We start from the raw sequence: 11611 nt of genomic DNA, 5'->3' as shown, positions 1-11611 counted from the left end.
ACTGAACATCAACAAAGTGTGCCAGATAGGAGAGAAAGAACAAAGCAAATCCCAGGGGACAGCTCTTGGGATCTTTTGTGAGAGCACAGAACAGTCCTGGAAGCCCCCAGGAATCACTGGGAAGGACTGTCGGCGGGGCTGGAGGCCCTGCATCATCACTTAGATGGCATGGATGATGCTATTTCCAGGATCCCATTTCATACCCAGGCCAGTGAGGCCTGGAAAACTCATTAAATAATCCAGTGGTTCTCAGATTAAAATAATCATCAGAATCACCTATTTGCTTAACAATTCAGATCCAGAACCTGATTCTAGATATGCTGAATTAGGATTTCTTAAAGTAAGGCCAGAAATGTTTGTCAAACCAAGCTCTTAAGAGAGTCTAATGTCTATCAAGTTTGGAAACTACCATTATAGATATTTTCAAAAAATAATTACTTCATCTTTTCCCAGTCTCCAAGTGAAGTTTCCTAGACTTGGGATATAAACTTATTTGTTAATCTAAGTATCTGTCCAGTGATTCCAACGACTCTATTCTTATATAAGAGTGTATTAACTTAATCATATTAAACAATTGGCATCATGAGGTGATCTAGAAGGGCCCAGCATCACTGAGCTAGAGGGTTTTTCAACCTCAGAACTTTTCATATTTTGGGTCAAATAATTCTTTGTTGTAAGGAGCTGTCTGGCGCATTGTAGGATGTCTAGCAGCATCCCTGACCTCCATTCCCTAGATGACAACAGCACTACCTCCAATTATGTTAACCAAAAAATGTACAGACATTGGCAAATGGTTGCTGAAGGCAAAATCACTTCCAGTTGAGAACCCCCGATTGTGAAATGCTATCTTTAGTATTTCACAGAAGCCCAGAAAATTCATGGCAACAGAAATATTAAATAACACTGGGTGGGAATTAAGAAAATGTACATGAAATCTTATGTTCTGGCTGAGACAATCTGTGCCTCCATTTTCCTGTGTGTATAAAAACTATGTGTTCTATATACTTCTATATAATTTCCAGAGATTAAGTGAGTGCTCACCTCACATTAATTTTTTTAATTTGTGTATTACTTACCTCTCCACTGAGCGGGGAGGTAAAGGAGGCTGGTAATCAAATTTCTTCAACTTCATTATGTTGCTACCTTGCAACACAATAATCCCTACTCTAAGCTAGCCTCAAATATCCTGTTTCTCATAAATAAGCTTAAATAAGGGAGGTGTGCTATAGACATGCTTTATGCTAAAATAAAAAGAACACATAATAAATAGATGAGAATTTAAGCTTTTATTAATAAATCATGATTTTCTATTGAATACATAATAAAGTACAATTAACAATAACATAACATTACAACATTAAAAATTAAAACTTTCAGAATCACCTTGATCAATATATAAAGCTTTAGTTCCTTATTTCAACAGTGTTCTTCTCATATGCAAAACAGCTTCCCAAAATAAGAGATTCGTGAATGAAATTTTATAAAGCTTCCTGTGTACCAAAGAGATTGACTCCACATCAACTGTCCCCTACTGAAAATCCAAACCATACAGGCTTGAAGGACCAGAACTGAGCCACATTCTATTAAAGTTATCAAAGATAAAATCTTAAAGATCTACAAATGGAACATGGAACTACCTTCTACCACCAATTCAATACACTGGGCAAACGTGGTAAATCTTGGCCTCAAGACAACATAAGATAGAATGATTCTTAAATATGTAGCAACAGATATATCAATATTATCCCTATTACAGAGACACATGTATACCAATTTATAACTGTTCTTTGCAGTAAGAAACTCAGAAATCATCTAGGAAATATCTATTTTCCTATGTTACAACTGAAATGAAAATGACAACATATTTTGTAAAATGATGCAATGTGGTATTGTCTTTTGATGAGACATGAAAACACAACTCACTGGCTAGAAATAGTTGTAAAACAAGCCTACTCTCACTGATATATACTTACTTTAAAAGTTACACTTACTTCTTAGTTTTCTGAAGAAAGAAGGATAATGGTCCTCTATTCAAAGTAGTAATAAAAATAATTGCACCTCAAATTACTCCCAGTGTAACATAAGATATTTAATATTAACATAAATATCATTTGCATAGATGATAGAAAAATTCTAATTTCTTAAAAGTGCTATGCCTTACTGGAATTTGAAGACAAAAAAAAAAGTGAGGAATACACTCTTCTGCCTGTCCGACAGAAGCCTCTACCGAGAACGTAAAAGGTTCTGAAACTCATCTATGAATGAGTCCACTTACTATAAGTGTCTTAAATTTACAATGCGCAAAAAACCAATGCACCCAAGAATACATCATGGCACCTTGCCCCATGGTAACCACTTGGCAGACTCAAATAATAACTACCCTCATAGGGAGAAATCTTGCCAAGGGAGAATTTACAACATATTTTTAGAAAGAAATGAGTATTCAATCATTCAATAAAGCAAATCAGAAAAAGTAAGGTTGTGAAAAGAACTCCAGATTATATGCCAGCAGGTTAATAAAATAATTCTTTTTTAAAAAATGACAAAGAAAAATCATAGTTCCAATTTTTTACTTAATGTCTTGAGTCTGCCAGACATGTCAAATGAAATAATTGAATTATGTAAAAATAAAAATAGTTGGTATTATATTGACAGACTACTTATAAATATGTTTAGCATAAATAGAAATTAAAGCTAAATATGTCTTTTTCTAAAAAAAAAAAAAAAATTATACCTAGGCTCAAAAGAATAGGAGCAGGGAGAGTTATGCTATCTACAATTCTGAATATTTCCACGTGCAGGATACAGTATTACATATGTAAGTAACATCTCCTAGGTAACAGAAATATATCTGGATTCTACATAAGCAAAACACTCCTCAGATTATAATATATAATCCAAAATACTAAACCAAAGATACTATTTTTACAATGTTTTGAAAAACAAAGTACAATAGCACAACACAATAAAAGGAAGCATTTCATTGACCAGACATATTTTAATGGGCTTGAATTTCTTTTTTAAAACTATAACTAAATGTAATAAGATGGTGGAACCAAATATAAAAATGTTATTCTGTCCTAGAATTGTTTGGCTACTAGGTTTTCCCAACATTCAGTCTCTGGAAGCATCGGCCAGTCAGAAAGAGAGGTAAGATATGCTGGTGTTTTACTAAGGTTCCCAGTGAGTGGAAAAGAAGGGGGACTTTAGTTCATACCAGTAAATGACATTGACAGTATTCTAAATGGAAGAGCTTCAGCATAAGGAATCTTAATGGTAAAATGAGTTTTTTAATATTATTACTCATAGCATGTGAAGAAAATAATTTATACTAGTAATTATTACTACTACATATACTCCTTTTCTCCTTATGCCTGTGGTATTTTAATCACTTTTAGTCCAAGCCCACTGCTTGTAGCAGAGCAAGTTCTCTAAGGGAAGTATGAAGGAAGAAGTGGCCGGGACATCTGCACAGCCCCATGCACCAGGAGACAGTGCTAGCTAACCCTTTATGTTCCTTCTCATTGTTGTCCTCTTCATTTTTAATAAACTTACAATAAAAAGAGATGAGTTACAAGGTGACTTTTTTGTTTTTTGTTTTTTGAGACAGAATCTCACTCTGTCCCCCAGGCTGGAGTGCAGTGGCGTGATCTCGGCTCACTGCAACCTCTGTCTCTCAGGTTCAAGTGATTCTCCTGCCTCAGCCTCCCGAGTAGGTGGGACTACAGGTGCATGCCACCACGCCTGGCTAAATTTTGTATTTTTAGTAGGGACGGGGTTTCACCATATTGGCCAGGCTGGTCTCAAACTCCTAACCTTGTGATTCACCCGCCTCAGCCTCCCAGAGTGCTGGGATTACAGGCATGAGCCACTGCGCCTGGCCTACGAGGTGACCTTTAACTTGAAAACATGGAGTTCTTCACCAAAAAAGTATTCAAATGATAGTTTTTAAACAAGGAAATATGGTCTAAAAAAGATACAACCTGTCTTCCAATGGCCTTTCCATTCTAGTGTTTCCTAATATATTACACTAGAAGTTAACTATAAATTATATACTTTAAAATATAAAGTATTGATTGTCAGTATAAGGTTCCCAGGCCAGGAAAGAGGAGGGGAAAGTCCTTTGCCAAGACCCTCCCCCAATTTCTTTGTAAGATGATTTCACCTTTAAAGAACTCCCAGAGAGTAAAGGGCAAAAACACGTTTACAAGGAGGCCCCAACATTACAAGTGCCTGTTTTAGAACAGATTGTGTCAGAGGTGTAAGAGATCTAGAAACTTTTCCCCACTTAAGAAAAAAAGGCAAGAAAATTAAGTATTTGATACTTAACTGCCCTCTTCATAGACCACTGTCTGGGGATCTATTTTCTATGTACAGGTTTGCCAGCTTTAAAATACTGAATGTCAGTTATTCCTACTTTGGTATCCAAAATATCCATAAGCAATATATGAGCATCCATTCCACTATAATTTCTGAAAATTCACTAAAATAAGAGCATTTTTAAAAATTAACTTTAAAAGATACATTTGCATACTTTATTTTTGATGGATTTATTTTTAAATAGCTAAAAACATAAAGCAAATTCTTTGGAGCCCATGGCAATTACTTTTTCCCCTGTCCACTTGAGTGAAATGCCATAGAGCTAAAGAGAAAAACTAAACCATTTCTTAGATTGAATAAAAGATCATTAATTGTTGACACATATCTAAATCATTTCAGTATATTTAGAAGGCAAAGAAGAAAGGGAGAAGGAAAGAAAAGAGAGAAGAAAAGAAAAAAGGGGGATTCATCTTTAAAATTTCCATCCAGATAAATTATATTACCCTTCGGAATACAGGGCAATTAAAGATTGAGGTGCTCAGGATTCGGGGATCTTAAAAGTTCACAGCAAGCATCAGATGTCACTAGACAACTGGCAGTCTAATGCTCACACCCCTGAACTAGAAGAGGTTCCACAGGATCCCTGGCCAATGCCAGGGATCTTTAGGTCAGCAGTCATGTCAAGATGCTCTGATTCTCCACAAACCCAGCTTCTTTCCCAAACTGCAGGGAGGTCGGTCTGCAGTGACTTACCTAGTATTTTGTTGTATCCCTGGCTCACAGTGTCTCCCTGGTCTAGGATCTTCGAATCGAAATCCCATGAAGCACATATTGCAGTGCTCTCTGACTCTCACCCCTGAAATAGAGCTGGTGTGGGGCTGAGGATGTGGGAAGGAGACAGCACACCCAGCACCCCCCAGGGCAATTTTCAGTATGCTCCTCAACCTCTGAGATGGTGTGAAAAGCACAGTAAATGTACTGCCCCTCACATTTCTCTACAGAGGAAAAAGAGAGGGAGGGCAATGGCTGGGGGGTGTGATCAGATTTCAAGCAGAAAAAGACCGTGCCACTTAAAAAAAATTCACCACCTAGATTCTGAAAAGAAAGAATTTCCAGTTAAGAAGTATCTACTGAGACCACTGGGCATGGGGTGGGTTGGGGTGGGGTGGGCAGTAGGGCTAGGTTGGAGGTGGGAAGGGAACAGATGAAGCTCCTCCTGCTGGCTGTTTTCTCCCATTCCCAGGGAAATCCATCTTTAAGCAAACATGGATGTGTAATAATGCTTAAGAATCTAGGTTCATTTCTTTCACAAAATGAGGAGAATACCTATTCTAAAGTAATACCTTTATTCTGGAGAAAACAAACACCTCCAAAAAAATTCTAAAAGATTTTGAGAGGGGAAAATATAGACACACAACTGCATTCATTCTGATCTTCCACACAAAGATCAGGTGAAGAAATCTATGCAGCTATACATGCTAGGACCTGTTGTACACCATCCCTGCAACCCCATAGAAAGAAAAAAAACTCTTTTTTCAAAATAGAAGCAGTATTCTTCTACGAAAACAAAACAATCACATGTGACTACTGGAAATGTTAGTGTTACACAGAGTCCTTTAAAAATAAATCACAGCCAAAGTTCCATAAAGTACAGAAGCTTGAAACAGAAAATAAAAATGACTGAAGAGTGATGATGGGAGCCTGAAGCTCCATCCTCACAAGGACGGCAGCCCTGGACATCACTGCAAAGGTCACAGGAGGACAGCTTCACTTCAGAGTTGTAACTTCTCACCGCCTGTCTCCCTGTTCAAAGAAGCAGACATCAGTTCACACGGCTCCCTTGTTTAGAAACATTGACTTTGCCAAAATATAAGAGCATTTCGATACACTTTTCTGAGTTTTCCATTCTTAACCTAATTTTATTTTTCTTTACAAGAAACAACTGAAATGTCCAAGAGTGGTCCAAAGTACTAACCAAATCCAAGAGAGAAACAATGCGCTCAGTCCAATCTGTCTACCACCAGCAGTTGGCCAGCATTAAAAGAGAGCAAATAGACTGCAGCTGCACACTGCAATCACAAGCACCACTTTAATCTCTTACTGCATCAGGGAGAATTTTCAGTTAAGGACTGTTTAACCTCCTCAAGAGTTTATTTTAGGATGACATTCTCTATGCACTCAAATCAAATTCTAATCATTAGAACTACTGAAAAGGGGCATTTACCCTGGGCTCTAGTAAAAAAATACATAAATATGAAGGGAAGACTGCCTATGCAATACCTTGTTTTAAAACACTCAGCATATAGTATCTAAAAGCGAACATGACAAAAACTACTTAAAGTACCTATAACACCACAGTGAACTCACTGTAAAACATAAATGAGTTTTATAATTTTTAAAAAACATATTCTATTTTCAAATTTATTCATGATTTTTCAGAGACTGTTTTCCATATCGTAAATGTGTTTTGAGATTTTTTAAAATGGGTTGGAAGGTTTAGCTTATTCTGATCTTTCCCATATTTTCATTTTAAAATGGCCTCCTCATAAGTAAGTTGTTTTCCATAAAAATTTGCATAGACTGAATTATTTTTGTTTCTTAAATGTTTAAAATGTTCCCCATGCACCCAAGAAATATAAATTGGGGAATTTTGCAACTAAGTAAAGTAATAAAGTTGGACAACTAGTTACTGTCATTGGGTCTCCACAGTGTATTCCATCCCTCCACTAGAAAAAAAGTGCCACACCAGTGTTTCCCAAATGTCCCACAAGAACCTGGGTGAACCCTCTTCCTCAGTGCCAACAGGAGGCAAAAGACAAGAGGAACTGGCTTGTTGACTATGAGGAGAGAACTGGTGCTACACCTTAGTCTTGAATACTCTATGAAACACTAACAACAATGGGAACAAGTTCATCTCATTTAAAGTGTAATTATCTACAACTACCTAACACACAAAAATGTTCATGCTTCTCATGCATTGTGATGATTCTGAGCCACCACAAGCGCTTATTCAAAATAAGACATATTACAATTAGAAACATTAGGCCAGAGATCACATACAAAAAGTCCCTCTGACTGAACATGGATTCATCCTATTAAACTTGGGCCATCTCCAGACCAGCTCTCTATTTTTACGTCCTAAATTTCCATCATTTTATACAAATAAGAAGTTACCAGTAAAATCAAAGAAGCTCAAGTTATTTTCCAAACAGGCTATATTTTTCTTGACACACTTTTAAAAATCTGTTATCAAGTGTAAGTTTCGGCAAAACACCAGACTCCCTCAATAAAGAAACAGCTAACTCCAGCCGATGCTACTGCATTGCAGATGCTGTTCATGTTCTCTCCTGAAGAAGTCCCATTTTATTTATTATTTGTTACTTATTTATTTACTGTTCAGGGGTACATGTACAAGTTTGTTACAAGGGTATATTATGTGATGCTGAGGTTTGGGCTTCTATTGATCCTGTCACCCAAATAATGAACATTGTACCCAATAGAGAGTGTTTCAGCCCTTATTCCCCCTCTCCCTCCCCACTTTTGAAGTCCCCAGTGTCTACTGTTCCCATTTTTATGTCCATGTGTACCCAATGTTCAGCTCCCACTTATAAGTGAGAACATGTGATATTTGGTTTTCTGTTTCTTCATTAATTCACTTAGAATAATGACCTTCAGCTGCATCCATGTTGCTGCAAAAGACATAATTTAGTTCTTTTTTATGGCTGTATAGTATTCCATGATGTACATCTACCACATTTTATTTATCCAATTCACAGTTGATGGGCACCTAGGTCGATGACCTGTCTTTGCTATTGTGAATTAGTGCTGTGATAAACATATGAGTGCAGGTGGCTTTTTGGTAGAACAATTTATTGTCCTTTGGGTATATATCCAGTAACGGGATTGTGGGGTCAAATGGTAGCTCTACTTTTAGAAGAACTCCCATTTTTTTTATTATACTTTAAGTGCTAGGGTACATGTGCACAACGTGCAGGTTTGTTACATATGTATACATGTGCCATGTTGGTGTGCTGCACCCGTTAACTCGTCATTTACATTAGGTATAACTCCTAATGCTATCCCTCCCTCCTCCCCCAACCCCATGACAGGCCCTGGTATGTGATGATCCCCTCTCTGTGTCCAAGTGTTCTCATTGGTCAATTCCCACCTATGAGTGCGAACATGCAGCATTTGGTTTTTTGTCCTTGCGATAGTTTGCTGAGAATGGTTTCCAGCTTCATCCATGTCCCTACAAAGGACATGAACTCATCCTTTTTTATAGCTGCATAGTATTCCATGGTGTATATGTGCCACATTAAGAACTCCCATTTTAAAGCTGGAAACAGATGGAATGGGTGCTTGGAATAGAAGCAATACCTTGCAAATGAGACATAACTGGACTCTATATGCCAATTTTTCTTTGTAAAGTTTATAATTGTGAGTTAAAAATCTAAAACATTATGAAAAAATATATCATTTTTAAATTTCATATGCTAAAACCTATCATGTGACCCTTGTAAATTATCAATAGTCTTCACTGAAATGGAATGCTCACTTCCTGCCCCCCCGCCTCCTGTACTTTCTCCTACCAAATCCTGCCCTCGCCACAGAACCAATCCAATGTGTGGTCACTTCCAATAAATGAATGAATGCCTGGCTTAATTTCTAAAGTATTAAGAACTCCAGAGCATACTTACTTGGCTCATAGTAATCCACTATGGACACTGAAGCATCTTGGGTATTTGAAACTTTAAAGTTTCTCACAGCAGGAATATTAACACAAAACTGGGTTTCATTTACCTTGAGAAATACAAAAGAGTCTTAAGGGGTTGGCACACTGTGTGTTCATGATTAAGTAAAGACATTTCTTTTTTCTCATCATTTTAGGAAACAGAGACTAACACTTAGGGAGGATTTCTACATGTCAGATACTGCAGTAAGTACTTCCTATGAACTATCTTATTTAACTTGTAAAACAATGCTTACAAAAAGGTATTGTTCTTAGTTCCATTTTGCTGAATGGGATACTGAGAATTAGAGTGGTTAAGTAAGCAGCAAGCCTTAGGGTGCATGCACCTAGATCTCCTGTCTCAGATGGTGCACCCCACCCCCAGTTACTACTAATGGCTCACAGCAGCCTCCTTCTCCTGGGAATCACCCTCAGCTCATGCAAGCCATGTCACCCAGTAGGTGAGGTAACTAAGATGGGGCTGTACTCCACAGCCAATGACTGAGATGGGGTACACAAAGCCAGCCTATCTGTCTCCAAGAGAGACAGATTTGGCCAATTTGGCAACAACACTCATTAAAGAATCAGAAATTAGTAAATTCCTTCAAACATTCCCTTATTTGCCAATAGTAGTAAATGAAAAGTCAAACTGACCACTCAAAGAGTACTGGACACTCAAATTAAAATAACCATTAACAAGAGCATCAAAGATAGAAGACAAACTCCAAAACCAATTACACAACTAAACTAAAACCTTAAATTTGTTTTTCAAGTTCCAAATCAGGCCAATGGCTTTTGAGCAGTGCTTAATGTAAGATAATTCCTAAACAGCAAAAGAATCTAGAGACTGTTATTTAACATTATATTGAGACTGAATTAGTTTTAACAGGGCTTTAACCAAAGTGGTTTTGAAGTGCTAAAACAAATGAGACCATTCAAGAACTATCTTTTTAAAAGCATATATTCAGCAATATATTTCTGATTCATACTTAGCAAAACTGAAATAAGAAACATACAAACCCACCCATGTAATATGAAATCCTTAGAATACTATGAACTCAATATCAGTTCAACCTATGAAGCTCATATAGATGCTATAAGAAAAGAATAAACTTACATACCACCAGTTTTGAGACATACCAAGTAGAGTCTGGAATTCTTCACTTACCTTTCCCTACACACTGTGTGCACTTTATTCTTGAATCAGTAGTACTCATTCAGCAATGGAAAGAGTACACGAAGGTTATGTAACAATTCTATGTCAAGATCAAATCTCTGAGAATAGTCTTCCATGATTTAGCACCTAATTTTTCAAGGTAAGAATATGAACCCCTTTAAGGTTTGTTAAAAGCTTCATGGAAGAATTTTAAAATGTGTAATTAAGACTTTCGTCTTCCAGCCAGGCATGGCGGCTCACACCTGTAATCCCAACACTTTGAGAAGCCAAGACCAGAAGATCACTTGAAGTCAGGAGTTCAAAACCAGCCTGGGCAACAAAATGAGACCCTATCTCCACAAAAAATTCTCATGAAATTATCTAGGCATGGTGGCATGCACCTGTGGTCCCAGCTACTCAGGAGCCTGCAGTGGGAGGATCACTTGAGCCCAGGAGTTGGAGGTTGCAGTGAGCTACGATTGCACCACTGCACTCCAGCCTAGGCAACTCCCTGAGGCAGACAGGCTCTCAAATTCAGATCTGGGTTGAATTTTTTTAATTATACTATGGAAATTTCTATGTATTTCACATCTGGCATGACATAAAGATTTAGTTATGAAGGCCTTCATCAGGCTCGTCATTAATAGCAACTCTCTAAACTGATTTTATACTTATGTCTTTCTAATGGAGATAAATATATGGTTGCCATGTTAAACTCATTCAGGGACACAAAAAGTTGAAATAACAATGAATTAAAGAAAACATACTTAAAGTAAGGTAGACACCTGAATACAAAACACAGTGGCTTTGTCAACAGTTACCTTATGTTTTACTACTTACAGAATCTAAATAGAGGTTGAGTTTTCCATGATCATATTCCACTTTCTTCACTGTCTCGCTCAGAGAAATTGCTTCTGAAGGCACCATAAAGCCACTTAATAGGTTAACTTCCATAAGAGCCATGCCACTCCTACCCGGGCCCGAAAAGCTAAATCAAAGAGGGAGGATGAATGAAAACTCCTCAGGAAAAACCCATAGCTGTTATCAAATTATCTTCATACAAAAATCAAACCCACCAAATGTTATTCCAAACACTGTTTGAGTTCAAATAAAATTCCCTATAGAGAATTTTAAAACAGGTTATCATTTTCTTACATGTGTGGTAATCTTGAAACTTTTAACCATATAAGGAATAATGATACAACAATGTGTTCATCTGACAGATAGTATGCAATGCCTGCAATGTAAGAGGCTTGTGCTTATAAACTGTGACAGTACAATATACATCCTTTCAACAGACAACTCTATTTTCTAGTGGTGATTCCAAACAGAATTGCACTTTTCCTTTTCTCAAAAGTTGACAGCACCAAACTTGCAAGCTGAAAGCCAGGCCCTGAGAAGGAGGC

At 37.2% G+C, this 11611-nt stretch overlaps 1 protein-coding gene across 10 annotated transcripts in view; it reads right to left on the bottom strand.

Moving 5' to 3' along the window:
• The window catches only part of CD109 (CD109 molecule), a 149122-nt gene continuing 138778 nt past the window's right edge, over window positions 1268-11611 (bottom strand). For all 10 annotated transcript variants that reach the window (XM_047418211.1, XM_047418212.1, NM_133493.5 and 7 more), the window contains 3 exons: window positions 11046-11193; window positions 9018-9120; window positions 1268-6123 (listed from right to left, as the gene is read on the bottom strand). In XM_047418211.1, coding sequence (XP_047274167.1) covers window positions 5948-6123; window positions 9018-9120; window positions 11046-11193 — 427 coding nt within the window. In that variant the 3' untranslated portion in view covers window positions 1268-5947. The remainder of the gene's footprint in view (window positions 6124-9017; window positions 9121-11045; window positions 11194-11611) is intronic.

Source organism: Homo sapiens, chromosome 6, assembly GCF_000001405.40.
Source record: "Homo sapiens chromosome 6, GRCh38.p14 Primary Assembly".
Classification (NCBI taxonomy): Eukaryota; Metazoa; Chordata; class Mammalia; order Primates; family Hominidae; genus Homo; species Homo sapiens.
The sequence above is the reverse complement of the archived record's forward strand: the minus strand, read 5'-3'. Positions and strand labels throughout refer to the sequence as shown.